Genomic DNA, 27,442 nt, shown 5'->3' with positions numbered 1-27,442 from the left:
AAAAACGGGGAGAAACTATCCAGGCTCTTACTGTCTGCCACGTAGCAGGTGTTCAATAAGTAATTGTTGAAATAATGAATGAATTGGCGAGGCTATAATGTTTCCCTCATCAAGTAAACCTGCTCAAACCTCCCATTCCTGATTAATTATGAAGAGCTATCCAGCCTCTTCCACTTCGTAACAGTTTGGGCCGCGTTTCCGCCGGGGGAGAGAGATGTAGGGGGCGCGAAGAAAGACTATATTTCCAACTGGGTCCCTTTCATTTCCTCCAAAGGTCCAGAGTCCTAAGAAGAATGAGAGCTCAGCTCAGCCCGCCAGTGGTAGTGCTTCTCGGCTGGCCTTGGGTTTAGTTGTAGGGTCTGGGGCTGGGTCCGCCCTGGGACAATGACGCCCCAGACCTCTGGACTCAGCTTCAGGGCTGCCTCTCACCGCGTCCCCAGGTCCCAGTCCCAGGATCCGCTTCGGGGAACCCCAGGAGTAGTGCCTTCCCCCATCATCCACGGGATGGGTGTGGGGGGATGTGAAGGACGCGAGAGCCACTGCACCGCTGACGGTCTGGCGCTCCGGTGCAACCGCTTCAGCTGGCTCATCACAACGAAAACCACTTCTCATCTGTTATCTCGTCAAGGCTTCGGGCACCTCTGAAAGGTGGGCAGGTCTATGCTATCAGTCCATTTTAAAGATGGGGAAACCGAGGCCCTGGAGAGGAAGCCCCTTGTCCAGAATCAAGCCAGACGGGAATAGAGAACCCAGACATCTGGTTTTCCCAGAATTCCTTCCACGTTTCCCCACCCCGCAAGGCAGCGAGAAGGGAGAAGCTAGCAGCGGGGAGAGACAAGAAAGGGGTCAAGTTAGGTGAGGGCTTGCTATCTCTTCTTCCTCAGCCTGCTTAGGGAGGGGGTAGCTGGGAGGACAGACCCCTGCAAAGATAGAGCCACGTGAGCGCGCACCACCTCCGGCCGCGCGCCTCGTCCCCCTCCCCTCTTTGTTCGCGCCTCTGCGCCTGCGCAGTGCGACAAATCTGGCGCTGTCCCCTTCAGCACCACGCGGAGTCCGCGCCGCCCCTCCCCGCGGTGAGCCCCGCGCGCCCCCGCCTCGCACGTCCTCGCGCCCCCTGACTGCCCGAACAGACCCCTTCTTCCTTCCGAGGTCACCATCTGCCCGCCCTGGCCCTCCCAAAGAGAGTAGTTGCCATAGTAACTCCAGCGGCTCTTTCTTAAAATAGCAGGGCCCCCTTCTACCCTGGCCAAGGGCACAAGGGTTGCCGGTCCCCCACGTCTTCCGGTCCCTAGTTCATCCCGTCTAACCTCTTACCCCTGGGCAGGCGTGACGACACCTAACTCAGGCAGCAAGGAAGTTCTTCCTGAAGTCTGATTTAACATCCCCCTGCTGCATCCTGGGAGGGTGGTCAGGGTTGGATCTCCTGGGTCCGAGACTCAAAACCCCTGGCGGGTTCAAGACGGTGTTCCCTAGATCTCCTTTCCATAGTTGATGGTCTCCTGGATTTAGGGGGCGGGTCCAGTCTACACCCATACCGTGTGCTTGGCGCGGCCGCGTGCTCGTGGGGGCGGGAGCGCGTGTGGCATGTAACAGGTCATGTGGCAGCCTCCTAGGGACACGCGTGGGGTCTGGAGCGGGACACGCGTGTGCAGCCGGGCCTTACGTGTGGCTCAAGGGGCGGTGGGCGAGAGAGACGTGGACACAAGTGGGGTGGGGCACGTGAGGGTCTGGGGAATAGAACCAGGGGTTCCATGCGCCCTCCTCCTTGTCTGGGGCGGGTCTTAGGTTGGCGGGAGAGCCCAGCGGGGACCTAGCGACAAGGGGGGCTGGCAGCCTCCGGGGCTCTGGGCCCTGGGAGAGGGCGGGGGGTGGGGGGGATTAGCGTTGCCTGAGCGGCGCGTAGGGGGTAGGGGGAGGGACTGAGAGGCGGGCGGGCCTGGAGCAAACGGGAGCCGCGCTGCCTTCACAGCTCAGCTGGGCCCAGCCTCTCCTCTGTCTCTCCTCGGTCTCAGCTCTGGGCGAGCAGCGGTGAGTACTGAGGTGGCATTGAGTTGGGGCTGCACCGGGTATGCGCTGGGACCCCGTTGAGCTTCCGGAACCTGCCTGGCAGGGTTGCTACTCCTGACCTCTGCCCCTCCCCTGCATTGCCACCAGAGGCCCCTTTACCTGGTTATGGTCTCTCCTGGGCGGGATCTGTCTTACCCCTGGGGAGAGAGGGAGAGGAGAGGAATATGGGTGCAGATTCCCCTCAAGAGACCCCAGTAGGTGGGGGGGAGGGGACGGTGTGTGTCCCTGCTTGAGTGTGTACATCTGTATGTGTACATCTGTATGTGTATGTGACTGTGAGCAGTAGGTCTCTGTGAGTGTCTGATACACCTGGACCTCTGTGTGCACTGGAGAATGACAGCTTGTGTATATATTTGGGTACCTCTTTGTGTGTTCCTGTTTGATGATGGTGTGTGTGTAAAACAAGCATGTGCCTTTTCATTACACACATACTTGTTATGACTGTGAGAGTGCATGAGGGTGTGTCTTTGAGCAGTGTGTGTGTGTGTGTGTCTGTGTGTGTGCCAGAGGGTGTTGCCTATGAATGTGTTTAACTGTGTACTGACATATTTGTCCTTATGTATGTGTGTGCGTGTGTGTGTGTGTGTGTGTGTGTGTGTGTTTGTGTGTGTGTAGGTGCCTGTCTGTACCTGTATGAAGAAAAGAATGTCCCTGGCCGGGTGCGGTGGCTCACGCCTGTAATCCCAACACTTTGGGAGGCCAAAGTGGGTGGATCCCCTGAGGTCAGGAGTTTGAAACTAGCCTGGACAACATGGTGAAACTCCATCTCTACTAAAAATACAAAAATTAGCCAGGCATAGTGCTGAGCGCCTGTAATCCAAGCTATTCAGGAGTCTGAGGCAGGAGAATCACTTGAACTTGGGAGGCGGAGGTTGCAGTGAGCTGAGATAGCGCCATTCCACTCCAGCCTGGGCAGCAGGGGCGAAACTCCATCTCAAAAAAAAAAAAAAAAAAGAAGAATGTCCCTTTCCCACTCAGTATGTATATATTGGGGGTAGGAGCCTCTGCTCAGGCTTTTCTCCCCACTTCCATGCTGTGCCTCTCAGCCCTTCAGCATCCCTATATAACACCTGTTCCTCTTCCCTCTCCTTCCAGGAGGCCTGAGTTTCCCTTCCCTGAGTGAGGGGCCTCCATAAGAGAGACTATAGGGGTCACAGGGCTGTATGATGGTGACAGCTGGCTGACACCCCTTTTCCAGAGGGTGGGGTACCAACTTCCCCTATTCTAGAAGTAGCTCCAAAGTGCCATAAGAACTCCGGGCTCACTCAACTTTGAAGTTGCTTCCTCTCTCCTCCCAGGGTGATGCTCAGGGCCTCAGGCAGAAGGAAAGGAGCCAGGGGCCCACTGGGTGTATAAGTCTTTTCTCGTCAGGCCTCTATGGAAGTAGTCCCCAGGCGTGGGATCAATGATCCCATATTACCAGGGTGTGCTAGGTCCCTGATACTCAGAGGCCCTAGCCAACTTTCCCTTCCCTATCTCTGCTGTCCTATCCATCTAACTCCTTGGCAGTTCACCCCATGCTCCCCTTCCTCTCTTACAGGCCTGTCTGAAGAGCATGCAGCCCCCTTACTCCCCGCCTGGCCTCGCCATCCCTGCCCCCCCAGCCTGACCCCCGGCCCCAGCATGGCCCAGGGTGCCATGCGCTTCTGCTCGGAAGGCGACTGTGCCATCTCCCCACCACGATGCCCACGCCGCTGGCTCCCCGAAGGCCCGGTGCCCCAGAGCCCCCCAGCCAGCATGTATGGCAGCACAGGCTCCTTGCTACGGCGAGTGGCAGGTCCAGGTCCTCGAGGCCGGGAACTGGGACGTGTGACAGCACCCTGTACACCTCTGCGTGGCCCCCCCTCACCCCGTGTTGCTCCCTCACCCTGGGCACCCTCTTCACCCACTGGGCAGCCCCCACCCGGGGCCCAGAGCTCTGTGGTCATCTTCCGCTTTGTGGAGAAGGCCAGTGTGAGGCCACTGAATGGGCTACCTGCTCCAGGGGGCTTGAGTCGGAGCTGGGATCTGGGTGGGGTTTCTCCTCCCAGGCCCACCCCAGCCCTTGGGCCTGGCTCCAACCGGAAGTTACGGCTGGAAGCATCCACATCAGACCCACTCCCCGCCAGAGGAGGCTCGGCCCTACCTGGCAGCCGGAACCTTGTACATGGGCCGCCAGCCCCACCCCAGGTTGGAGCAGATGGCCTTTACTCCTCTCTCCCCAATGGGCTGGGGGGCCCCCCTGAGCGCCTGGCCACACTCTTCGGAGGACCTGCTGACACTGGATTCCTGAACCAGGTATGCAACTTCCCCTGGGCTCCCTGGGCCCCCAGTGAAGGGGCAAGGCTCAGCCTCCTGTCAGACATGGGCTTGTCTGCTGTTCACTCTGAATCCTTTAATCTGTTCTAAATCTGCCTCTCTCTTGCCCTCTGTGTTTGTCTCTGTGTCTCTGAACCTCCATCTCTGTCGATGCATGTTTTAATTTCTGTTTCTGTCCCATATTCTTGTGTCCTTGTATGTCTGGCTTTATCTCTGGGTGCCTGTGTCTCCCTCGTTGGCTCAGGGGGATACCTGGTCCTCCCCCCGGGAAGTCTCCTCTCATGCCCAGAGAATCGCTAGAGCCAAATGGGAATTCTTCTATGGCTCCTTGGACCCCCCCAGCTCAGGTAAGGCCTGGGACTGAGGCAGGGAGAACAGGGCAGGGCCTTCCCCACAGCAGCTGAGGCTCAGTAGGGAGCCCTCCTTCAAACTTCCCCCAATCCTTGGAATTGGCTCTTGAGTCAGCCAATGTCTCCCCAGGCCTCAATCTTTCCATCTGCGCTATGATGGGAGGCTGGAGGATAGGACTGGGCAGGGCACCTGGAGGAAGCTGAGTAATGGAGGGAGGGGACAGAAGGATATTGAGGGGCATTCCATGGAGTAGAAAAGAGGCTCAGCAGGGCTCAGTGGCCCCAGTATTTTGGGAGGCCAAGGCAGGAGGACTGCTCAAAGCCAGGAGTCCAAGACCAGCCTGGACAACAAGCAAGTCTCTACCAAAAATTTAATTAGCTGGATGTAGTGGTGTGCACCTATAGTCCTAGCTACTGGGGAGGTTGGGTGGGAGGATCCCTTGAGTCCAGGCAGTCAAGGCTGCAGTGAGTTATGATTGCACCACTGCACTTCAGCCTCAGTGACACAGTGAGACCCTGTCTCAAAATAAATAAATAAATAAATAAAAAAGACAGAAAAAGGCTGGTCTTCCCCCAGCTCCTCAAAGCCATTTGACAAGAACTTGATTTAAAATGAGCTCCACTGGCACCAGGAACAAGCTAAGTATGTAGCAGGAGGAATGGTGGCTAGACAGTGAAAGAACTTCCTGTCAATATGAGGCAGTGGGCAGAGATCCTAGAGCAGAATTAGGACAGGGAGCTGACGTGGATAACCTCCTGACCTGGATGCCTATGCACACTACAGGTGCTAAGCCCCCAGAGCAGGCCCCCCCATCTCCACCTGGGGTGGGCTCAAGGCAGGGCTCTGGGGTGGCTGTGGGGCGAGCAGCCAAGTACTCCGAGACAGACCTGGACACGGTGCCCCTGAGGTGCTACCGCGAGACTGACATCGATGAGGTGCTGGCTGAGCGGGAGGAGGCCGACTCGGCCATCGAAAGTCAGCCCAGCTCTGAGGGCCCACCAGGCACTGCCTACCCACCTGCCCCACGGCCCGGCCCACTCCCTGGCCCTCATCCCAGCCTCGGCAGTGGCAATGAGGATGAGGACGACGATGAGGCAGGTGGGGAAGAAGATGTGGACGACGAGGTGTTTGAGGCCTCTGAAGGGGCCCGGTGAGTGGGGAAGTGGGAGGGGGAAGTGGGAGAGGGAAGCGGCTTGCTCCTTCGCACTGGCCCACAGGCAGAGCCGGGCTCAAAGGGCCTGGGATAGAGATGGGTGTGGGGCTGGCGGGGCAGTGTGTATAGCAGGAGATTCTAGACAGAGGCCTGAGGCTTGGCAGAACACTGGGGATGTGGGGAGCAAAGAGGCCAGGGGTTCTAGCAGAACAGGGGGCAGGGTGAGAGGCCAGAGGCCACAGTCAAGCCCAGGAACACAGGAGCATGAGTCTGGATCCTGGATCCTGGTGGGAGAGTGGGGAGTGTGGGGACATTCCTTTCCGTCTCACACCCCAGTGTCGCTTGGAGCCTCATCTTCTCCTAAGATGTTGCTAGAAATAGAAATGGGATGGCAGAAGGGAAGCGGATCACGGAAAAGGAGGAGAAAGGGAGATTAGCAGGGAGGGAGGGGATGGGGTGCTGGGGACTGGTAGGGCTGGTGTGCCCCAGGGGGCACTGAATAGCTTGGCGCCCTACCCTAGAGGCTCTTTTTTGTTAGTGGGCTGGAGCCAGTGAAAAGGGGATGATAATCCCCTTAGCAGAGTCAGTGTGAGAGTTCAGTGAAATCCTGCCCCAGCCCTGTGATCTGGGCCCCTAATCAGAGATTCTCCCTGCCCCTGCAGGCCAGGGAGCCGGATGCCTCTCAAGTCACCTGTGCCCTTTCTACCTGGGACGAGCCCCTCGGCTGATGGGCCTGACTCTTTCAGTTGTGTGTTCGAAGCCATCCTGGAGTCACACCGGGCCAAAGGCACCTCCTATACCAGCCTCGCCTCGCTGGAGGCCTTGGCCTCACCTGGCCCAACCCAGAGCCCCTTCTTCACCTTTGAGCTGCCTCCCCAACCCCCTGCACCCCGGCCCGACCCACCAGCTCCCGCCCCACTTGCCCCTCTTGAACCGGATTCTGGTACCAGCTCTGCTGCTGATGGTCCTTGGACACAGAGAGGGGAGGAGGAGGAGGCAGAGGCCAGAGCCAAGCTGGCCCCAGGGAGGGAGCCCCCTAGTCCCTGCCACTCAGAGGACAGCCTTGGGCTGGGGGCAGCACCCCTTGGCAGGTAAGTAATTCCTTTTGTCCCTCAGACTTGAGGCCCCCAGGGCTCCAGAAACAGCTGCTGTAAGGGACAGATCCTGAGTGTGAGGATTGGTTTATATTCCTGACCCCTGAGTAGGGGTGGTTAAGGGATGCAGATCCTGTTTTCCTATTTGGAGGACTACTGCCATTAGCTGTGAGGGAGAGTCCCTCACAGCACCCCTCTTGGTCTCAAGTCCAGTGGCTTGAGAAAGCATGATTCAGCATTGAAGGATCCCAGGAGAATACCCTTCTTGCTCTCCTGGAGGGCCCTTTCTTCCCTTGGCAGAGTCTTTAGCCTGCTCAGAATTCTTGTGACCTTACCCTCACCCAGCCTGAAGGCTTCACCAAAGATGCAGCCACCAGCCTCTCCCACTGCCTCCCTCCCATGTCACCCCTGCCTAATCAGGCATCTCTCGTCCAGCTCCAGGAAGTCCTTTCACAGTCTAACCTTTCTGCTCTCCCCTCTGCCAGCTACCCTCTCAGTCATGGAAGCCATGGCAACAGGAGGGGGTGGCCAGGGAGACCGGGTTGCCTAGCAACCAGGAGTTTCCGGCCTCTGTCTCTGGGCTGACAGGTGGCTTTGCGAGTAGAGCAGCTGGGGTGGGAAGGGGAGGAAAGAAAGGGAATGAGGGTATGCACCCCGACCCTTAACCCCCTAACTCCAGAGCCTGCTTCTGTGTGGGCAGAGGGGGAGCACCAAGGAGAGGTTCCTCTCCCTAAAAAGCAGGAGGGGGAAAGCCTTCGGACCAGTATCCCTGCTGCCCTCAAATCTTTCCCTGGCCCTCCACAGTTCCTCCGTGGTAGCCCATCTATTCCAGCTTTGTCCATAGTCTAAGAGACAAAGGACTATGTTCTGTGTAGGGCCAGGGTGGGAACAGATAATCTATGTCTAATAGCAAATGTAGGCCCCTGGGAGCTTGAGGAAGCAGCCAGAACTCCCACAGCAGCAAGACGGATGTGGGTTAGATTTGAGGCAGGACTTCCACAGAGAGGTGGTAATGATGGAGTAGGCTGATGGAGAGAATCTAATCTCCTTCCCTGGAAAAAAGAAGAATGCTTTCCCCATGTCCCTCCACTCCCTCCCCTTCTCCATCTTCTGGGCCTGGAGGCAGAAGGAGGGTCTGGATGGCTCCTAAGGACCCTGCCCCAGCCTGAGCTGGTGTTCTACCCCGGCAGCGAACCACCCCTGAGCCAGCTGGTGTCCGACTCAGACTCAGAGCTGGACAGCACAGAGCGGCTGGCCCTGGGAAGCACAGACACCTTGTCCAATGGGCAGAAAGCGGACCTGGAGGCTGCGCAGCGCCTGGCCAAGAGGCTGTACCGACTAGATGGCTTCAGGAAGGCCGATGTGGCCCGGCACCTGGGCAAGAAGTAAAGCCACTAGGCTGGGACTGAGGATGGGGGCAGAGGGAATGCATCCTGAAGGCAGCTCTCCATCTAATGTCCCCTGGTCATTGGGTAATCCCCACCTGACCCCCTGCACTTCCCCTTGAGACCCTACCTGTCTCTCTGCCCTGCCCACAGCAATGACTTCAGCAAACTGGTGGCTGGGGAGTACCTCAAGTTCTTTGTCTTCACGGGCATGACTCTGGACCAAGCTCTCAGGTGGGTGTTGACCCCTTGGAGGACAGCCCCCACTCTCCGGGGTTCGTGTTAGGGCCCCAGGATGCCTCCTTTGAGCCCCTCTGTCCCCCACAAGCCGTCCTGACATCACCCTTCCCAAGATGGCTGGGCATGGCCAAGGGCCAGAGCTGCCTGGTAAAGGGACCTTGGGTAGGGGTGATGGGTGGAGGGTCAGGGTGCATACCCTCATCCCCTTTCTCTCCTCCCCTTCCCACCCCAGCTGCTGTACTCTCAAAGCCTCCTGTCACCCCAGAGACAGAGGCTGGAAACTCCTGGTTGCTAGGCAACCCTCTCTTGCCCCTTCTCCAGGGTGTTTCTGAAGGAGCTGGCCTTAATGGGTGAGACCCAGGAACGAGAGCGCGTGCTGGCCCACTTCTCCCAGCGATACTTCCAGTGCAATCCTGAAGCCCTGTCCTCAGAGGGTGAGGAGTTCCGAGAGCAGGGGTGTCCTTAGCTGGCCACAGTGGCAAAATGGGCTGGGCCCTGTGTGTGTGTACAGGAGCATGAGTGTGTGTACAGCAGGGAATGGATGTACATGCGTGTAGGCATGTGAACTTGCATGTGTGCAGACAGCGCTGTCATGGCTGCATGTATGTGGAACTATACATGTGGGCAGGCATATTGCTAGGGTTGAGTGTGTTGTGAAGAGGCAGGAGTTTGCATGCCTGTGCAGGCCAGTGCTTGGCTGGAGAGGGGATTCTGTTTGGCTGCACTGGTCTACAGGACTGTGCTGCGGTTCACTTTCTCGTGGTCCAGGCTTAGAGGCAAGGGAACGTTGGGGCAACTAGTACGTTGGGGCAACTAGCCCTCAGTACTTGAGGGAGCCAGGGACGGGTCCTTGCTGACGGATCTGCTGGAAGAGGAGCTCTTTGTGGGGAGGGTTTACTAGCGGGGTTCAGGAGGTAGGAAGTTGCCGGCCAAAGGGGGTGGGGATGAAATGGGAGGTTGGGGAAGATGGCTGTGGGAAGGGTCCCTGGGAGGCAGCCAAGGCTGAAAGTCAGCTCTCCCCTAGACGGCGCCCACACGCTGACCTGTGCGCTCATGCTGCTCAACACGGATCTCCACGGCCATGTGAGTGGAGGCGGGCGGGCAGGAGCCGGAAAACAAACCCCTGGCCAGACATGCAGGACCTGGGAGGCCAAGGGCCCTCCAAACTCACAGGCCTCCGTTCCCTTCCTTAGAACATCGGGAAGCGCATGACCTGCGGGGACTTCATCGGGAACCTGGAGGGCCTCAATGATGGCGGCGACTTCCCTAGGGAGCTGCTCAAGGTGGGGGGCGGGGCAGGGTAGAAGTCGCTGGAGGGGAAGGATGGAGGACCCAGTCGGCGACGGAGTCCAGAGTCGGAGGGAGGGCAGGGCTGGGGCTTGCCGACCCCCGGCTCCTGCCACGGAAGCCCGGGCTCTCGTGACTCAGCCTGGGGACCGCCCCCTCCCCAGGCCCCACGCGCAGGCTCTCCCGGAACATGCGCACATGCGTGCGGTCGCGACTGCGCACGGCGGGGGAGGGGACCCGGCTCTGGAAAACGCGAGCAGGCGGCCCCGGCCCCTGCGTTTGCCTTCAGTTCCCCTCCTCCAGTGTGCGCTGGGGTGGAAGGCGGGAGTTGCGGGGGTCCCTGCACGGGACAGGGATTGGATGGGGGTACACTCCACACTGCTCCCCCGCCGCGTGGACAGCCAAAAAGACCTTCCCGGTGCTGCTGCGCTGCAGGAACCCGGAGGGAGAGGGGCCTGAGAGGGACTAAGCTTTTCCAAGGTCTGGCAGCGAGTTAGCGCAAAGCTGGAGCTAGAAACTGCTTTCTGGCTCCCTGTGAGCAGGTCCCGTTCCCAGGCGCCAGCTCCATGGCCCGCAACCGAGGGCTCAGATACGTAGGGGCTGGTGCCGGTAGGAGAAGGGAGTGGCTCATCCAGTGGGTTCACTCCTCTCCCTGATCTGGTGGTAGTTTATCTAGAGAGGCCTGGACTCACTTGAAGAAACCCCCAGGCTAGGACAAAGGTGTCTCTGCTCCACTACATACATGTAACAGCACAGGATTGTCCTAGGGCGTTTCTGTGAGCTTGGGGTGCTGGGCTTCTGAGTTTGGGGTATATCTGAGAGGGAACGTCCATGGTGAGCTGGGGTGTTGCTTGAGTTGAGTTGCATCTGTGTGCCCGGGCGTCGTGAATCAAGGGTTTGTATGGCTTGGTGTGTTTGTGCTTTAGGGCTTACGATTCAGAGTGTGTGTTTGAGTTGGGGTGTAGGCTGGATGTTTATGTGTGGTGGGGTTTACATCTTCGAATTGGCCGTGTCTGAGGTATGCCATATGCCTCTGAGTAGGGGGTGTATCTTTGTGAGCTAAAGATTCTAAGTTTTGAAGTGTCCATCTGAATGGGTAGTGTCTGCGAGTTGGGGTGACCGTGAACTGGTGCGTCTGGTTTGTTGGGGTGTATGTCAGAATCGAGGTGTGTTACGTGACTTCAGATCTATATATGGGTGGGGTATCTGCGGGTGAGCTGGATGAGGCCAGGGCTGTTCCTTCCCTGCCTCCGTCCTCCCTCGAGGCCCCTCTTGGCTCAGTGGAAAAGGGCTGCAGGGAAGCGGTCCGACCTCTCCCCTCCCACCACCCCAACCCAGACCAGCCAGAAGGGAGTTCCAGACCCTGCCGGGTCCGCCCAGCGTCACAGCCCCAGGCCTAGCGGTGCTCTCAGCCTCCCTGGAGCTGCCACCCACGCTGGCCTCCCCAGGCTCCTCCCCGTGGCCGCGCGGGGAGGGCCCCCTTCGCGATCGGGCGCCTCCATTTCATGCGGTCCCCGCCCCCAGCCCTCGCCCTCCCTTTCCCGTCGGCGCCCCCCTCCCGCTCTAGCCAAGCCGCAGAGCAGACAGCGCCGCCGCCGCCGCCGCGCACTCCGTGCGTCCGTGAGAGCCGGGCCGGCTCGGGCCGGGCCGCGCCGCTCGCGCTGGCTGTCGGGGGAGCGGTCCGCGGGCCGTCCGGGCGGCCCGGGGGCCGAGGGCGGACGGGGGCATGGCCGGGGGCCGCGGCGCGCCGGCCGGGCCAGCATGATCGGCGTCAACAGCATCCACAGCAGCGCCGGGCGGCTGCGCTCGCGCTCGCTGTGCTCCGTGCGCTACGGGCGCACCCACCGCGGCGCGGAGACCCTGTGCTACGGCTGGCCGCAGCGCTCGCGCAGCCTCAAGCCCGTGCTCTACACCGACCTGGTGGTCAGCCGCCTGCAGAGCCGCAAGAAGAAAAAGGCGGTGAGGGCGTTGGGGCCGCGGCCCACGCCAGGTTGCGGGGCGACCGAGGGGGCGGCTTGTGGGAGGCACCGAGGGCGGTGCCAACCGAGGGCGGAGCCTGGTAGGGACAGAGGTCATGGGCAGCCAGAGGCGGGCACGGGCTGGGGGGGCAGGGAGGGCACAGACCCTGGGGCCAAGGTGGGCCTCAAAAACCGAAGAGGCTTTTCTAGATTGAATATGACTTGCGGCCCACCGATGGGGTTCAGGGCCCTCGAATGAGGTGTGATGGTGGGCCGAAGGGGGTCCTGAGACAGGGCAGGGGATGAACTAGAAGGCGGGAGGCAAGGATTGCAGGTTGGATCTTGGTGGCCACTTCCGCTTTCTGGCCAGAGAGTTGCGGAGTGAGGGTTAAGGGTCTGAGCCATGCTGGGTTTCGTCTGGGTGTGTGCTGGAAGGTCTATGTGTTGATTTGCCTTGGTTGTGCTGGGGGCGGTGGAGTGGGGGTTGGAGGCTGTGGGGTACACCCATCCCCAGATAGGGTGTGAACAGTGTGTGCCCAGTTGGGATGCCTGGTTTGCCTTGTGGCTGGGCATGGCTGTGGGCAGTGAGAGAGTCAGAGACTGTGGTTTGTTGGGAGGAGTGAAGGGGAGGCTGTGTCCCATCACAGGGAAGGTGCCTACGTCACCACTGCACCCAGCTCACATGCAGGCAGCATCACACGCCACACACTTAGCCCAACATGCACATGCTGGGGACACACCCACTCACGGACAGGCTGACGGAAGTACCCCACAGTTGGAGGTGCTGGCGTGGACCCATATTCCAGACCACTCTGGAGAAGAGGGGACCCCATGCCACTCCTGGAGCCTATTCTCTCTTCTGACCACCCCAGGACCCCCAAATGTCCCCAGGCCAACTGCACAGAGGGGAAGTGGCTGGTTCACATCGCACAGAGTTTGGGCTATGCAGGGATTGGAAGCTAAAACCACTGCTTTTTAGAGGAGTGTTCACTCTCCAGTGACAAAGTGTGCACGTGGGCAGGGCGTTGGACCACCCTGGCATTTGGCTTGGTGGGGCTGTCAGGGTTAGGGGGAGGCCTCAGCTTGTCTTGGTGTTGGGAGCCATGATAGTGTATTCTCTATTAGGGAAGGAAAGTGCTGAGAGGGCGAGTCCCCTATCCTGGGGTCGCAGTTTCCCCATATGCTATGTGTGGGCTCATCCTGTGGAAACAGGCCAGAGCGCGTGGTTGGGGGAAGGGGAATTTCTTGGGCTGCTTTTCCCGTTCCCTCCAGGGCTGTGCTTCTCCAGCCCAGGATCTGAGCAGGACAGCCCCTTAACAACAATAAAGATAATAATAGCAACAACCATTTACTGTGCGTCAGCCTTGTGCTGGGATGCCCTGTGCTAACTGCCTGTGCCCACATGTTACTACGTTTGTTCCTCTCCATGGATACTTGCCCGAAGTCATGCAGCTCAGGTGGTGGAGCCGGGTCTGGGTCTCCATTCTGGAGCCTGTATTTTTGGTCATTATATCTTGCTGCCCTTTCCCCTTAGTTCTGGCTCATCTCTCAAGTTAGAGGGGAAGGCTCTAAGCTCTGACACTGCGGTACTGACCCACAACCCCCTAATTTGTTCCCCCCACCCCCCAGGCCTTGTACAGCTCCATCAAGAATGAGAAGCTGCAGTGGGCCATGTGAGTCCCGGGGCTGCGTGGTGGGGCTAGGATGGGGCATGGGGAAGGGGCTGCCTGGGGAGGCTGAGAGAGCTGGGGTAGGCCCTGGGTGGGGGTAGGGGAGGGGAGTGAGAGGCCATGAGAGGCAGTGAGGCTGCCTCACTTCCTTCTTTGGAGATGTCTGCCTGGATTTGGGGTTCTGTATCTTGTCTCTAGCTGGGTTGTTATGACAAGTGGGTTGGGGTGGGAGGAGAGGTGCTGAAACATCAAAGGGAGGTCCCCTGGCAACCTGAGTGGGAAAGCAGAAGCCTCTGGAAGCAGGGCCTTGACCAGCAGCACAAGAGGCCCTCACAGGTCCTAGGGAGCCCAGATGTCACAGAACAAAACAAGTAACCATGCTGTCTGTTCTTGGAAGGCTCCAATAGAAACATAGATACTCGGCCAGGCGAGGTGGCTCACGCCTGTAATCCCAGCACTTTGGGAGGCCAAGGCGGGCAGATCACGAGGTCAGGAGATCAAGACCATCCTGGCTAAAACGGTGAAACCGTCTCCACTAAAAACACAAAAAATTAGCCGGGCGTGGTGGCACGCACCTGTAGTCTCAGCTACTCAGGAGGCTGAGGCAGGAGAATGCTGTGAACCCGAGAGGTGGAGCTTGCAGTGAGCCGAGATCCCGCCACTGCACTCCAGCCTGGGTGACAGAGAGAGACTCCGTCTCAAAAAAAAAAAAAAAAAGAAAAAAGAAACACAGAGACTCATAAGTAAGTCTTGGAAGAGTCTAGTCTTCTAGTCTGAGGGAAGAAATCCAGTTTGGGCCTTGGGGTCCCCAGTCTGAGGGTAGAGGCCTTATCTTCACAGTTCATAGATCATTCAAATTTGCCGTTATCCACTGAGACTCCCTCACTGTCCAGTTAGCTGGGAGTTCCCAGTCATTGGAGATCTCAGGGGAGGTGCAGCTCAGGATTAGGGTGCAGGGGGAGATCAGGGAAGGCTTTTGGAGGGTTGAGACTGGGGCCATGAAGTTGGGGCAACATTTGGGAAGAGGAAAGGGGAAGCTGGAATTTGGGAGGCAAAGGTGTGGTGGCTGAAATGAGTATGGGGTGGGGGACCAAGGGAGGCAGGCCTAGCTGGGACGGAGAAAAACACTGTTGGGGGAGATGCAGTGTAGGCTCCATATGGGAAGTAACAGGGAACTACCACAGGTTCTTGAGCAAGGGAGTGACAAGATAGAATCCGAAATTTTGTATCTGACTGAGCCTGTAGACCAGGATGTATGGGGTTGGGGTGGGGGCGGCACTAGGAAACTACTTCTTCCATCTGCTACCATTTAGCCCACAAACCGTGAGCAAAGCCTGGGGCTGGATGTGGTTGAGCCAGCGGAGGCAGGCCCGGGGCTGTCCTGGTGGAGAAGGGTGTGAGGGCTGCAGGTGTGCAGCAATGGAGAGGATAGTGCTGGCCCTACTTGCTGGGAGGAAGGGACAGTGGTGGCTCTAGGCTGGGGAGCTCTGAGGGAGGTGCCCTGCTCTGAGGAGGCACAGCTACACATTGTGGAGGCCTGATCTGAGACGGGAGACATGGCAGGACCCTCAGGTTGAGCCCCCCAAGCCACAAACACTGGGGGAGCTTTTCCAGGGCGAGCAGAGGCCAGAACTGAAGCGGGGGCCGCGGCTCCATGGCCAGCCCCCTCTGAGGTGATCACACCTGCAGAGACGAGGAGGAGCTGAGACGCTCTCTGTCTGAGTTGGCCGACCCCAACCCCAAGGTCATCAAGCGGATCAGCGGGGGCAGTGGCAGTGGCTCCAGCCCTTTCCTGGACCTGACTCCCGAGCCTGGGGCTGCCGTCTACAAGCACGGGGCCCTGGTGCGAAAGGTGCACGCAGACCCTGACTGCAGGAAGAGTATGTGGCCGAGTTGCGGGGGGCGGGCGTCTAGGGGATGGATGGGAGTGGGCCTGTTCCAGGGCCCCCTGACCTGTCTTCTCTCCCCGCAGCACCTCGGGGCAAGCGGGGCTGGAAGAGCTTCCACGGGATCCTCAAGGGCATGATCCTCTACCTGCAGAAGGTGCGGGGTCAGGCCAGGGGGCTGGGGCTGGGACTGAGTTGGCTGGTGGGTGTGGGGTGATGGGTGGGAATAGGAGGGGCTGGGCCAGGCTGCATTTGGGGCCAGGACAAGATGGACACCCCTGCAGGAGGAGTACAAGCCTGGGAAGGCCCTTTCAGAGACGGAGCTCAAGAATGCCATCAGCATCCACCATGCCCTGGCCACTCGTGCCAGTGACTACAGCAAGAGGCCCCACGTCTTCTACCTGCGCACAGCTGACTGGCGGGTCTTCCTCTTCCAGGCCCCGTGAGTGCCCTCCTCCTGCCCATCCCGGACCCCTTCCCCCACCTCCCATCCTGCTCCCCTCCCTGTCCCTGGATTTTTTCATTCCTTCTCAGGCCACACTTGAGCCAGGACTGGCATCCTGGGACAGAAACCCTGGGCCCAGGTCCCAAAGGGCTGTGCTTTCTCCCCAGGAGCCTGGAGCAGATGCAGTCCTGGATCACTCGCATCAATGTAGTAGCCGCTATGTTCTCTGCGCCCCCCTTCCCAGCTGCTGTTAGCTCCCAAAAGAAGTTCAGCCGCCCTCTCCTGCCCAGCGCTGCCACCCGCCTCTCCCAGGTAGCCCAAGCTCTGTCCACCTAGTGCCAGTGGGATGGAGGGTGTTAGGCTCAGGCCCACTGCACTCAAGGCTGCTGCGTGTGATCGTGGAGATGTCCCCTGCACCAGGATGCTGGCCACAGGGGTGAGCAGGGACTGAAATCCAGCCCCCACTGGGTCCCGCTTGCCGGCTGGGAACCCAAACATAGTGCTTTGTTTGTCCAAAGGAAGGGGCATCTTTTTTTTTTTTTTTTTTGAGATGGAGTCTCGCTCTGTTGCCCAGGTGGGAGTGCCGTGGCACGATCTCAGCTCACTGCAAGCTCTGCCTCCCGGGTTCACGCCGTTCTCCTGCCCCAGCCTCCTGAGTAGCTGGGACTACAGGCACCTGCCACCACGCCTGGCTAATTTTTTATATTTTTAGTAGAGACGGGGTTTCACCGTGTTAGCCAGGATGGTCTCGATCTCCTGACCTCGTGATCCGCCCGCCTTGGCCTCCCAAAGTGCTGGGATTACAGGCGTGAGCCACCGCGCCCGGCTGGAAGGGGTATCTTTTTAAAAATCTGCAGAGGCACTGTATAGGGCAGAGTGACCATGACCATGCCTCCCCCTGGCCGCTAGGAGGAGCAGGTGCGGACCCACGAGGCCAAGCTGAAGGCCATGGCAAGTGAGCTGCGGGAGCACCGGGCCGCCCAGCTGGGCAAGAAGGGCCGGGGCAAGGAGGCTGAAGAGCAGCGGCAGAAGGAGGCCTACCTGGAGTTTGAGGTGAGCCTCCCTGTCTGCCCCTCTGTCCACACACGCAGGCCCATACTAGGGTGAAGGGCATGAACTCTAACAGTGGAACCGGCCGGAGGTCCTTGGGCAGGTTGCTTAACCTAAGCCTCAGTTTCCTCCTCTGTGCAACAAGGATAACATTTGACATCCACTGGGGTCTCGAGGTGAGGCATGTCTCAAGCGTGCCATTTCCCCAGCTCTAGTAAAGGCTCAAGACACATTAGGTTATAGATGATGGTCCCAGGAGAGCCCAGAGGGGGCACCAGCCCGCATGGGACCATCTCACAGTCCTGGGTGGGCACCTGCCATCTTCTGCCCTGCTGGCGGCCCTCCCTGGTCCAGATGGTGGGGTGGGCAGAAGGCAGAGAAGAGGCTCTCACAGCCCCTGCCCCTCTGCCTCAGAAATCCCGCTACAGCACCTATGCAGCGCTGCTTCGGGTCAAGCTGAAGGCAGGCAGTGAGGAGCTGGATGCAGTGGAGGCAGCACTGGCCCAGGCCGGGAGCACAGAGGATGGACTCCCTCCTTCTCACTCCAGTCCCTCCCTGCAGCCCAAACCCTCCAGCCAGCCCCGGGCTCAGCGTCACAGCTCAGAGCCTCGGCCAGGGGCAGGCAGTGGGCGGCGGAAGCCCTGAGATGAGGTTTAGGGTGGGGAGTGCCTGCTGGGCACCTGAAGGATGACATGGCCCTGCCTGAGCCCGGGCCGGCCTCGGGCCACCCACGAGGGCCTCCCGGCCTAGGGCCCGACCGCGCCGGACGCGGTGTCCGGGGCAGGGCAGGGCTGGGGCCTGGGCCTCAGGAGCCTAGGCTAGGGGCACCTCCGAGAGCCCCTTTTTGTGATAATGTTTTGCACTTTTTCGTACAGGGTGGGCGGGGGCGGGAGGGGCTAGCGCCCCTGAACTTTTGATGCTTTTTTTTTGTGTGGGAGAGGCCTGATGCCGTTTCTGCTTTCTGCTGAGACCACCCCCACCCTGACACCATCAGTCCCCCTCTGTCCTGGGGCCTGGCTTGGACAGAGACCAGGATTTGGGGCTGAGCTGGTTTCCCCTCCTTCCTCCCCAAGGGCTTACTCTTTCTCTTGCTGGAGGTGGAGGAAGGGCGTCCATGCCAAGGCCCCATACCTGGGCCGGGGGCAGCACGGCCTGGCTTTCCCCCGCTTCAGTGGGCCTTGCCCTTTGTACAGCCTCCACCCCCATTAAAACTGCTCTGGACTTGCTGGCTGGGCCTCCTCCTTCTCTTCTCACCATGCCTGGCATGTGGGCAGGGTGGGTAGCTGGTTCCAGGGACAAGAGTCACATCAGGGGCTGCCATAAGTTGGGAAGGAGGGGTCCTCCCCTTCCCATGAGAATCCTTTATTTGTCCCAACTGAGGGGTGGGTGTGGGGTGTTAAATAAGATTTGAAATAGGTGGGGACGCTGTACAGGGGGTCCGGGAAGGGGGCTGGGGGCAGGCAGCAGGTCAGTGCACCTGAGGCTGGGGGTGCCCGTGGCAGAGCCCTCCTGGTGGCTCAGGGGGTGGGCCCAGCTTCTCTGCCTCCTGCTCCACTGACTGGCTCCCGTACGCACTGTCTTCCTTCACCTCTGCTGGGGGTAAATGGGGACAGGAATGGGATAGTCAAAGCCTCAGGCCTCCGGCCCTCCAGGTCCAGATCCACCTTCCAGGGAGGCCCCTTTACCTGTGCTGGGCAGCTTGTCTCGGGTTTCTGGACCCCTCAGCAGCCTCACTCCCTCCTCTAGGCCCATGTCAGACAGGGCCTCCAGTAGACCTGCCAGGTCCCCGCCAGCCAGCTGAGAAGACAGAGGAATGAGGTCTGAGTCATGGTTAGGGCATGTGCTCGGGAGCCCTGGGGCCAAGGAGGCACCTGGACTCAGATCGGGAAAGGAGGCTGGGGAGGGGGCAGGGCACAGGCCAACCCACCTCGTAGCTGCGCAGGAGGCTGCCACTGGGTGAGGTTGTCTGTCGGTACGTGTCTACCAGGCTGCGCAGCCCCAGACGCTCTGCCAGCTCTGCCCAGCTGCCCTGGGCTTCTGGCCCGTCTAGCAGCTGCTCCAGGTTCTGCAGAGCTGTATCACCAAGTGACAGTCCCGGCCCTTAGGGGGACACACATACAGACATGTCATTTACCTCCAGAGTTGGGTGGGGACATGGACACCTGAACACTGCCTTTCTCCCAAGGTAAGCGACAGACAGGACCATGAGGGGTGATGGACGGGGCTGAGGGTAGAGAAAGGGAGGCCTCCTTCAGAGGTCCTGAAGGAGAAGAGACCTCTGTGAGGAGTCAGAGGAGTCGGGCTGGGGATGCCTGATGCTTCTCACCTGCTGGGCTGGGCGGGGTCAGGGGTGGCTCCATGGTGTTCTGAGCAGCATTTAGCAGCAAGGTCTTCACCTGGGGAGACAGCCGCAGTTCTGACTACCTCCCACCTCGTCCTTAAGCCTGTGTCTTTAAGTCCAGATACTCTGGACCCCGTCACTCAGAGCACTTCTAGTCCCGGGCTGGCCTCACCTTGGTGCTGCAAGTGAGGTCAAGAGGCGTGTGGCCCCGGAAGCTGCTTCGGGTGTCCTTCTCAGGCCCTTCAGAGTCCGAGTCGCTATCAGAGGTAGGGGGTGAAGGCAGTGGGCACAGGGGCTCCTCGTTTTCAGCATGGATGTCAGCACCTGGGAGAGGGAGGCCGTCATGGGGCGGTATGGTGGGGGCCTACATTAAGGACTGCAAAGTCGGGGGACTGGGAGGCACCTCTCTCCCTTCCCCCCACCCTGTTCAAGTGCCCCTGAGGGTGAGACTGACCAGCCTTCAGAAGGAGGCGGGTGAGGGTCGGGTACCCCAGTCCAGCTGCCAGGTGCAGGGGTGTGTTTCCCGCAAAGGTGCGAGCGTTCACGTTGGCCCGGAGCTGGGGGTGCGAGCAGCGAGAGTTGACACCACAGCATGGTCCCCTTGGCCAGCCCCCCCCTTCACCATCTTTGGCCCCTCCACCACCCTTGGCCCCACTCCTTCCACAATCCTCAGTCCCACCTTGGTGACCAGATGGGTGACCAACCCCAGCTCCTCCATCTCTGTGGCTAGATGCAAGGCTGTTCGTCCCCCCTGCCGCTCTGTGGCCTCCACTTCAGCCCCACTGTCCACCAGCAGATCCAGGCACTCAGGGCTTCGGGCTCGGACTGCCAGGTGTACTGGATACAGTCCTAAGGATGCAGGATGCTCAACCTGCAGCTGTGACCCTTAAGGCAGCCCCTGGACCAGCCCTGACCATTCAATCTCGACACCTCATAGTCCATTCTGGGCACTGGCCAGATACCCTCCCTGGTCCCCGCCTGCCCCCTTAGTCAGGTGAGATGGGGAGCTCACCCTCAAAGTCAGGCATATGCAACAGCTGGGGCACAGCAGGAGCTCCACTCTGAAGCAGTGCACGCAGCAGCTCAGGAGCACCAGCGCCTGCCCGCAGCGCCAGATGCATGGCTGAGTCTCCATGCCGATCCAGCAGAGCTGGGTCTGCACCTACCCGCAGCAGAAAGCTCACCACACTCGTCTGCCCCGTGATCACCGCCAGGTGCAGGGGCGTCTGGGGATGAAAGCAGGGTGAGCCAGGCCCGAGACCCACTTGCCTTCCAACCCCTCCCACCTCCCCAGTAGGCGCCCCCGCACCTGGTGCAGGTGGTTGGTGAGGTTGACAACGCCGAGGTCCTGGGCGTGGTGGATGACATAGACTATCTGCTCAATGACACTGGTCTGCCCGTGGATGATGGCTAGGTGCAGTGGTCTGGGGGTTGGGGAGCGAGAGTCTGGCCCAGCCACTCAGAGCATCCTTCGCTTTCAAGGCCCCACCGCCCTCATAGTCTCCCTCGCTGGGGCCCATGGAACCCAGCACGTGGCCCAGGGCATCGCTGTGCCTGCACTTAACGTTTCGCAGCACCTTTTGAGGTAGGTAAGTGCTATGACTGTACCCCTTGCACGGTCGACCAAACTGAAGTTTGGAGAGACCAAGCAGCTTGAACAGAGCTTGTGAACACCGAGGCCGGACTTGAAGCCTGGCGTGTCCGAAAACTGCAGAGCCCGCCTCCGTGCCGGTCCCTTTCCTGCCCCCACCCCGCGCCTCGTCCGCCAGGCCCTCTGTTGCCTACGTGTCTCCGTTCTCGTCCTGCGCCGTCAGCAGGTGGCGCTGTCCCGCCAGCAGCGCGCGCGCGTCCGCGGTGACGCCGTAGTCGAGTAGGGCTCGGGCGCTGCGCTGCGCCAGGCCGAACAGGCGCGCGTTGTACTCTCGAGCTACGGGCCACAGAGGGCGTGGGTCAGGGCTAGGTCCTCAGCCCCGGCGCCCCGACCGCCCGTGCCCCGGAGTCCATACCTCGCTGCAGCATCTCCGGGGCCTGCGGCTCGCACTGGGGGGTCCTGGAGGGGGCGCTTGGCTCCGCGGCTTCCTCCCCGGAGTCCCTGCTGGGCACCGTGGCGGCCATCTGCGCCCCGCCCCCGCCTCCCGGGTAGCAGCCCATGGGGCCCGCGCCGGACTGGTAGGGGCTGTAGGCCAGGGAGGAGGGGAAGAAACCGAGGCTGCCACCTGTGGATACAGGCAGGGCTGTGGGAAGCGGGCACCAGCCATGACTCTCCCAGATTTTTTTTTTTTTTTTTTGAGACGGAGTTTCGCTCTTATTGCCCAGCCTGGAGTGCAGTGGTGTGATCTCAGCTTACTGCAACCTCTTGTCTCCCAGGGTTCAAGCGATTCTCCTGCCTCAGCCTCCCGAGTAGCTGGGATTACAGGCGCCTGCCACCATGCCCAGCTAATGTTTGTATTTTTAGTAGAGACGAGGTTTCACGCTGTTGGCCAAGCTGGTCTTGAACTCCTGATCTCAGGTAATCTGCCTGCCTTGGCCTCCCAAAGGGCTGGATTACAGGCGTGAGCCACCACGCCCGGCCTCCCCCAGATTTTTTTCCTCCACAGCTTCTCTTACCTTTACCCCTCCCTCCATCAGTACCCCCTCACCTCCTCCAGCTCCTCCGTAGCCCCCGGCTGCACCCCCAGAGCCTCCACCCATGTGGGAGCCACCCCCGAAGGGCTGGGAGAAGGTGGGCAAGGCCTTCCTCCGCTTCCGCTGCACCTCTTCCTTGTCTGGGGGCAGAGGAAAATGAGATTGAGCCCAGTTATTGTGTCATGCCTCAGGGGCCCTTCCCAGAAGAGCCCTCAGGGCCGGCTCCTAGGAAGCACCTCCTGGGACCCTCGCACTTCTGACTTGGCTCATGCATCCCCACATCTAGCTCTTGGGACCTTCTTCTAGCCCAGCCTGGCCCCCCGCCAGCACCCTGAGGTCCTCAGCCCAGCTCCACCTTCCACCAGAGGGTAATAGGTGAACTGTTTGGAATCAGACACGTCCCCTCCTCGCTTGCGTTTCAGTTGCAGAAACACTGTTACAGGCCGCTCAATCTTCATCTTGTGATAGGGGGGTGTCCGGAACACAATGGCATACTGGGGGGTGCAGGGAGACACAGGGTGTCAGTGAGTCCTTAGCCTAATTTAGCCCCCAGCCCGGGCCCGGGCCCTAGCCCTGGGTACCTGTTTATGCACATCTGTGGGAGAGAAGTCCCCAAAGGCCTGCCATCCATTCTCATCATCCTCATAGAACCGAACCTCAATGTCATCTACAAGGAAAACGGAAGCTTGGCCACAGCTCCCGGTGGAATCTCTGGGGCCATTTACCCTAGAGCTTCCCTGGCCCCAGTCTTATACTCGATGTCCTTGGTGCCCAAAGTGGGCTCCAGTCTCACCTTTCTGCACCTTGTCACAAAGCAGATAAACTTCATCTCCACCCCGCACAGAGCCTGCTGTCTTGTCCATTCGAGAAATCTTCAGGTTTGATGCCCCCGGAGATTCTATGGAGTGGGATATGGATTAGTTGAGATGATGCAATAGCCAAGGCCACATTTAAGAAGCTGGGGGCTTTGTATTCCTTATCTCAGCAACCCCTGGAGCTGCAGGAAACACCCAATATACACATTTACTAAAGACAGAAGCTTCGGGGGGGAAATGACTTGCTCAGGATCACTCAGCTCATATGTGGCAGGGCCAGGTTCTGAAACCTGGGTCTGTTTGACTGCACAGCTTGAGGTCACCCCTCATGCCACCTCTGCCACCAGGCCTGGCACCCCAGGCAATCAGGATACTCACTGCTGTCATGGATGGGCTGGGAGATGACTGGCTTCAGGGGCAGGGAGAAGGAGCCATCACTGGCTCTAAGGAAGGCAGAGAAGCGCAGCCGCACTATACTCAGATCCATCACCTTCTTCAGTTCTTTGGCCTCTTGCTCCAGCTCCCGCTGCTCGGCCTCTGGGCAGTAGGTACATGTGTGACCCCTGGGCTTCTCCCTCCCTGCTCCTTCCATGAGCACCTCCCATGACCCACCCACCCCCTGCACCCATACCCGACCCACCCCCTGCACCCATACCCGTAAGGCCCTGGGGCCTAGAGCGGAGCCGCTGCCTCTGAAGTTTTTGTATCATAGTCCCCATCATGTTCTTCTTAGTCACATGCAGGACACCCAGGTTGTTAAATCTGAGAAGAGAGAATCGGAGGCCTTTGGCCATGCAGTTCTTTCTTCCTGAGGCACCTTTCCCATTGCCAGGGCTCAGCTCAGCCTTACTTCCTCAAGGAAGCCATTGGAGTTTCTACTTAGGCCCTTGGGTTTGGGGCCAACCTACATCTTTCCCCTTGGTCAGATGCTAAGCTCATGGAGGTGGGCTGGGGCCTGGGACTGGCAGACGGGCATACCAGTGGGGGCCAGGCGTAGAGGGCACCTACTGGGCAGTCATGTCCTTGGGCCCCACAGAAACGGCGCAGATCCCCAGCTCCGAGCATTGCTTGCCCACCAGACTGTGGGCATGAGCACGAGGTGGGTCACTGTGTGTTACCAGGTCCACCTCGATCTTGGCTGGTCCCTCGTAGTTACAGATCTAGGAGAGGCAGGGACTGTCAGTCAGGGCCTTGGGCATGCTGTCCACTTAGCCCACCCTCCAGCACCATCCTGGCTCACCTTGACAGTGGGATAGGTCTTTCGGCCCTTCTCACTGGAGGCACCGGGCAGTCCTCCATGGGAGGGGCCTTCACAGCCATATCGAAATCGGAAGCCTCTCTGAAGGTCCAAGGGCATAGTAGCATTGTGATCAGGGAAGACCACCCAGGCCAGCAGTGACCGCAGTGCCTGGTAGTAGCCCTGAACCAAACTACAGCACTCTGATCAGCAGCAGTGACCATCCAATCCCCTGTGGCCTCCTTCGGCAATGGCTCCTCCATGGCCAGCCAGCTACCACTACCCCATTTGTCCCCAAAGCTGAAGCCATTCCACACCCTCCCTTTTGCTCACTCACCTGCTTAGGCTGTTCCACGATCACCAGGTAGGGGCCATCAGCTGGGGACAGAGAGACCTTGCTGAGCCACGATCTCCCAGCCCCTCCCCCAGAGAGAGGGCACATGCTCTCCCTCCCCCGCTTTAGGACTAGGGGAGGTTAGTGAACTTGCTGACCTGTTTCTGGGGCTGGCTCCTTGGGTTCCACAATGGAGGAGTTCAATTTGAAATCATCATATTCAATAATACCATCCAGACCCTGGTTTGGAGACAGACTGGGGGTGGCATCCGACTCTCAGCACCCCCCACAGCCCCACCTCCCATCTCCAAGTCTTCAGTGGTCACTCCCCCCTCCTCCTCAGACCCAAGAGAAAGCTCCTTTTGGAGGCAGAGTTGCAGACAGATGGACAGACTGGCAGGCTGAGAGCATCTGCGAGCATACAGGTGTAAGGCAGCAGAGGGGGCTCGGGCAGACAGGTGGACAGACACGAGGGGCAGCCGGCCGGGTCAGGGGCAGGCGGCATGACTCACTGGGTTGTAGCAACTCTCCATGTCTCTGGGCTAGGCCCGGCTCTGTCTAGTGGCTCCGGCCAGGTTCTGCTTCCCAGAATTTTAGACGCCCGCCTAAAGTTGGGAGGAGTGGCGTGGGGGAGGGGGTCAGATCTAAATGGGGGTGGGCGGGAGATGGGGGCCCAGATTTGGGGGAGGGTCCGACCTCCTCCAGCCGCCTGTCCGGGTGTGGCGGGTGAGATCCGGTGGAGAGCGAGATCCGGAGTTGGGCTTGGCCGGGGAAGGGGCAGGAAAGTTAGAGCAGCTTAGGAAAGTCCCGAAAATACCAAGGGGAGGCGGGGCCGGAGGGGGCGGGCCTGGAAATGACGCCACTGGCCCCGCCCTCGCGACGGGAGGGGCGGGAGGCCCTCGACAGTCTACGGGCTCCCGCTGCTTTTCAGCGGGCAGAGGTCTAGGAGAATCCGGGAAGCCCCGGTGGGGGTTAAGCCCCCTCCTCCCTCCAGGGCAGGGAACAGGAGGGTCTTTCACGGCCGGGAGGAGGCTGGCAGTCTGGGGCCAAGTCCGCCTCCCGCTCCCCTCCCCCGGTCTGGAGCAACCTTGGGATTTTCTGCCAGGAGGGAGGCCACGGCTGATAAACCCCGGGGGCTTTTGGGGGGACATTCCTGCTGTCGGACGGCCTCCCCTTCGAACAGCCTGTAGGCGGGGGCTCTTTCCTGTGGGAGGCCCCGGGGTTCTGCCCCGAGAACGCGATTCTGGGGCTGCGGGAAAAGTGTCTCCTCCTCGGAGTGGGCTCTTTTCTCTCTCTCCCAAACCTCACAACAGCAGCTGGTCCCACACCGCACCGGTTCTGGGCGCGCAGGCGACAGGGAGATCTCTGCACGCTCCCCCCCCCCCCCCCCCACCTAATACAAGAGTGTGTCTCCATCACAGCTCCACAAGTGTGTTTCGGCTGTAGTGCTTGGTTGCATGTTGTGTGTCCATGGCGTCAACATGAGTGTGCAAGCGAGCATGTGTGTAGATAGGTGAATCCCGAGCTTCTCAGTGTGGGTGTGTGTCAGCGCCTGTCTTGATGTACGGACACGGGTGAGCGTATCTTGAGTTTGTGCGTGAAGGGTGTGGGTGCAGGCACCAGTGCACCGGTGGGCACGTCTCCGTGTGCATGTGTGTGCGAGTGCGACTGCACGGACGCTGCCGTGTGTGCGCCAGCACAGGTACAGGTGTACGTACGGGTCCGCGTATCTTTGTACAACGGTGTCGACGTGGATCCGAGTGTCGTCGCCTGCGCGCCCTTTCCGGCTGTGTGCAGCTGCTGCTCTCCAGCCCCAGGCGCTGTCCGCTAAAGGCCCTCCTCCCTCTTTTCTCTTGTCCCGGCCACCCAGGGGTCTGAATCCAGCCACTCACCGTGGCGGCGGCTCTGGTTGCGGCTTCTCTCCGCGCCCGACCCACCTGGGACCGGTCGCGACACCTCGCCTGCCAGCAGGGCTCAGGGCCGGGAAAGCCCCTTCTCGGCCCCCCGGAGGGGGGAATTCCCATGACGTTTCCGTGCGTCACGCCTCGCGCCCTTTTTCATTGGCTGAAAGTTTAACTCTGGACTGGCGCAGCCAACCCGGAGCGACTCGGGCGCGCCCCTGAGAGGGGACAGGCTCACTCAGGGCGGGGAGCGGGGTGACAGGACACCAGGCGCGAGTTCGGCCGGCCAGGGGACCGCCGAGAAGGTACCCGCTGACCCAGCGCCACCCCGGGCCGGGAGCTTCCGCTGCCTCTCGGCTTTGGCTGCGCCTAACGCTTGGCTTTCTCTGAAGCGGGGGATCCCCAGGGGGAAGCCGACGGCCCCAGCCCTCGGGGCCCCCACCCTGAGCGGCGCGCTGCCGGGAAGTTAGCGGAAGAGGAAGGAAGTTATTCTTGCGGTCGGTCCCGGGCGCCCTCTGGCGGCCTCCCTGGGCCCGCGAGTAGACTCCATTCGGCCCCGGCCCCTCTCTCGCTCCGTCTCATCAGCCTCAAGGCTCCGGGAGAGACAGTCCGGACCTCGAACTTTTTTAGAAGTGACAGGTTCCCAGCGGGCCAGGGCTCAGGAGCTCTGCTCAGGAGAAGGGAAATGAAGTGTTTATCCACCAAGGAGATCTGGAATATTAGAACTGAAAAAGGCATCCAGAGTTTAAACAGCTCAAATTTCCACCGATGTGGGAAATCGCCTCTTTTTTTTAGTCTCAGGCTGGAATGCAGTGAGGGGATTTTGGCTCACTGCAACCTCTGCCTCCCGGGTTCAAACCATTCTCCTGCTGCAGCCTACCGAGTAGCTGGGATTACAGGCGGCCACCACCACGCCCGCCTAATTTATGTATTTTTAGTAGAGTTGGGGGTTTCACCACGTTGGTCAGGCTGGTCCCGAACTCCTGACCTCAGGTGATCCGCTGGCCTCCGCCTTCTAAAATGTTGGAATTACAGTCGTGAGCCACTGCGCACGGCCTATTTATTTATTTATTTATTTATTTATGTTTTTGAGACAGTGTCTTGCTCTGTCACCCAGGCTGGAGTACAGTGGCGTGATCATGGCTCACTGCAACCTCGAACTCCGGGGTGCGCCGATTCTCTGACTCTCCTGAGTAGCTGGGGCTACAGGTGCACACCACCATACCTGGCAAATTTTAAAATTTTTAGTGGAGATGGATCTCACTGCGTTGCCTAGGCTGGTCTTAAACTCCTGGGCTTAAGTGA

The 27,442-nt window shown here is 59.8% G+C and overlaps 2 protein-coding genes across 10 annotated transcripts, besides 12 other annotated features; one reads left to right on the top strand and one right to left on the bottom strand.

Annotated features, from left to right (window-relative positions):
• Nucleotides 783-18,110, top strand: PSD (pleckstrin and Sec7 domain containing). 4 transcript variants are annotated; one of them, NM_001270965.2, is made up of 18 exons: nt 783-855; nt 1,970-2,028; nt 3,608-4,344; nt 4,610-4,712; nt 5,500-5,866; nt 6,532-6,960; nt 8,154-8,348; nt 8,502-8,582; nt 8,910-9,022; nt 9,613-9,671; nt 9,782-9,871; nt 13,463-13,506; nt 15,193-15,383; nt 15,476-15,546; nt 15,674-15,831; nt 16,002-16,146; nt 16,744-16,887; nt 17,299-18,110. In NM_001270965.2, the coding sequence occupies exons 3-18, from the start codon at nt 3,691-3,693 to the stop codon at nt 17,527-17,529; spliced, it is 3,075 nt and encodes a 1,024-aa protein (NP_001257894.1). In that variant the 5' UTR covers nt 783-855; nt 1,970-2,028; nt 3,608-3,690; the 3' UTR covers nt 17,530-18,110. The 4 variants fall into 4 exon arrangements, 3 of the variants coding, with proteins under 3 accessions (NP_001257894.1, NP_001257895.1, NP_002770.3); NM_001270966.2 differs by lacking the exon at nt 783-855 and adding an exon at nt 1,008-1,073 and having other exon boundaries at nt 4,098-4,344; NM_002779.5 differs by lacking the exon at nt 783-855 and having other exon boundaries at nt 1,944-2,028.
• Nucleotides 7,436-7,585: a silencer, noted in NCBI's record as "silent region_2758". NCBI's record gives its function as "represses an Ori minimal core promoter by ATAC-STARR-seq in GM12878 lymphoblastoid cells {active_cell/tissue: GM12878}" and the evidence as "EXISTENCE:reporter gene assay evidence [ECO:0000049][PMID:35858748]".
• Nucleotides 9,252-9,933: an enhancer, noted in NCBI's record as "H3K4me1 hESC enhancer chr10:104170553-104171234 (GRCh37/hg19 assembly coordinates)". NCBI's record gives its function as "activates a minimal SCP1, AML or CMV promoter by ChIP-STARR-seq in primed H9 embryonic stem cells {active_cell/tissue: H9 hESC(primed)}" and the evidence as "EXISTENCE:reporter gene assay evidence [ECO:0000049][PMID:30033119]".
• Nucleotides 9,934-10,616: an enhancer, noted in NCBI's record as "H3K4me1 hESC enhancer chr10:104169870-104170552 (GRCh37/hg19 assembly coordinates)". NCBI's record gives its function as "activates a minimal SCP1, AML or CMV promoter by ChIP-STARR-seq in primed H9 embryonic stem cells {active_cell/tissue: H9 hESC(primed)}" and the evidence as "EXISTENCE:reporter gene assay evidence [ECO:0000049][PMID:30033119]".
• Nucleotides 11,826-11,945: a silencer, noted in NCBI's record as "silent region_2757". NCBI's record gives its function as "represses an Ori minimal core promoter by ATAC-STARR-seq in GM12878 lymphoblastoid cells {active_cell/tissue: GM12878}" and the evidence as "EXISTENCE:reporter gene assay evidence [ECO:0000049][PMID:35858748]".
• Nucleotides 16,623-16,917: a silencer, noted in NCBI's record as "tiled region #3575; K562 Repressive DNase unmatched - State 8:EnhW". NCBI's record gives its function as "represses a minimal TATA promoter and a strong SV40 promoter by Sharpr-MPRA in K562 cells {active_cell/tissue: K562}" and the evidence as "EXISTENCE:reporter gene assay evidence [ECO:0000049][PMID:27701403]".
• NFKB2 (nuclear factor kappa B subunit 2) lies at nt 18,200-26,619 on the bottom strand. 6 transcript variants are annotated; one of them, NM_001288724.1, is given in 23 exon segments: nt 18,200-18,474; nt 18,570-18,681; nt 18,812-18,984; nt 19,211-19,280; nt 19,398-19,549; nt 19,680-19,782; nt 19,905-20,074; nt 20,238-20,451; nt 20,535-20,649; nt 21,011-21,152; nt 21,232-21,441; nt 21,865-21,990; nt 22,206-22,344; nt 22,432-22,517; nt 22,644-22,748; nt 23,044-23,202; nt 23,321-23,427; nt 23,674-23,825; nt 23,906-24,004; nt 24,240-24,280; nt 24,395-24,476; nt 24,749-24,841; nt 26,129-26,619. In NM_001288724.1, coding segments are annotated over 22 exon segments (2,700 nt in total). In that variant the 5' UTR covers nt 24,770-24,841; nt 26,129-26,619; the 3' UTR covers nt 18,200-18,352.
• Nucleotides 19,158-19,854: an enhancer, noted in NCBI's record as "H3K4me1 hESC enhancer chr10:104160632-104161328 (GRCh37/hg19 assembly coordinates)". NCBI's record gives its function as "activates a minimal SCP1, AML or CMV promoter by ChIP-STARR-seq in naive and primed H9 embryonic stem cells {active_cell/tissue: H9 hESC(naive and primed)}" and the evidence as "EXISTENCE:reporter gene assay evidence [ECO:0000049][PMID:30033119]".
• Nucleotides 21,129-21,448: a silencer, noted in NCBI's record as "silent region_2756". NCBI's record gives its function as "represses an Ori minimal core promoter by ATAC-STARR-seq in GM12878 lymphoblastoid cells {active_cell/tissue: GM12878}" and the evidence as "EXISTENCE:reporter gene assay evidence [ECO:0000049][PMID:35858748]".
• Nucleotides 22,663-22,957: an enhancer, noted in NCBI's record as "tiled region #13585; K562 Activating DNase matched - State 16:ElonW". NCBI's record gives its function as "activates a minimal TATA promoter and a strong SV40 promoter by Sharpr-MPRA in K562 cells {active_cell/tissue: K562}" and the evidence as "EXISTENCE:reporter gene assay evidence [ECO:0000049][PMID:27701403]".
• Nucleotides 24,429-24,548: an enhancer, noted in NCBI's record as "active region_3929". NCBI's record gives its function as "activates an Ori minimal core promoter by ATAC-STARR-seq in GM12878 lymphoblastoid cells {active_cell/tissue: GM12878}" and the evidence as "EXISTENCE:reporter gene assay evidence [ECO:0000049][PMID:35858748]".
• Nucleotides 24,959-25,008: an enhancer, noted in NCBI's record as "active region_3928". NCBI's record gives its function as "activates an Ori minimal core promoter by ATAC-STARR-seq in GM12878 lymphoblastoid cells {active_cell/tissue: GM12878}" and the evidence as "EXISTENCE:reporter gene assay evidence [ECO:0000049][PMID:35858748]".
• Nucleotides 26,059-26,348: an enhancer, noted in NCBI's record as "active region_3927". NCBI's record gives its function as "activates an Ori minimal core promoter by ATAC-STARR-seq in GM12878 lymphoblastoid cells {active_cell/tissue: GM12878}" and the evidence as "EXISTENCE:reporter gene assay evidence [ECO:0000049][PMID:35858748]".
• Nucleotides 26,359-26,758: a silencer, noted in NCBI's record as "silent region_2755". NCBI's record gives its function as "represses an Ori minimal core promoter by ATAC-STARR-seq in GM12878 lymphoblastoid cells {active_cell/tissue: GM12878}" and the evidence as "EXISTENCE:reporter gene assay evidence [ECO:0000049][PMID:35858748]".

The sequence above is a fragment of the Homo sapiens genome, chromosome 10 (assembly GCF_000001405.40).
Source record: "Homo sapiens chromosome 10, GRCh38.p14 Primary Assembly".
Classification (NCBI taxonomy): Eukaryota; Metazoa; Chordata; class Mammalia; order Primates; family Hominidae; genus Homo; species Homo sapiens.
This window is presented reverse-complemented; position numbering and strand designations above follow the sequence as displayed.

What these genes read in the sequence shown, in the direction of transcription:
- PSD (NM_001270965.2), top strand. Translation starts at nt 3,691, where the DNA reads ATGGCCCAGGGTGCCATGCGCTTCTGCTCGGAAGGCGACTGTGCCATC. An exon ending in CTTGGACCCCCCCAGCTCAG is followed by an intron (nt 4,713 to 5,499) that starts GTAAGGCCTGGG and finishes TGCACACTACAG; the next exon opens with GTGCTAAGCCCCCAGAGCAG. An exon ending in GGGGCAGCACCCCTTGGCAG is followed by an intron (nt 6,961 to 8,153) that starts GTAAGTAATTCC and finishes CTACCCCGGCAG; the next exon opens with CGAACCACCCCTGAGCCAGC.
- NFKB2 (NM_001322934.2), bottom strand. Translation starts at nt 24,769, where the DNA reads ATGGAGAGTTGCTACAACCCA. An exon ending in CTATTACCCTCTGGTGGAAG is followed by an intron (nt 21,991 to 22,205) that starts GTGGAGCTGGGC and finishes CTCTGCCCCCAG; the next exon opens with ACAAGGAAGAGGTGCAGCGG. An exon ending in TCACCAACCACCTGCACCAG is followed by an intron (nt 20,452 to 20,534) that starts GTGCGGGGGCGC and finishes TTTCATCCCCAG; the next exon opens with ACGCCCCTGCACCTGGCGGT.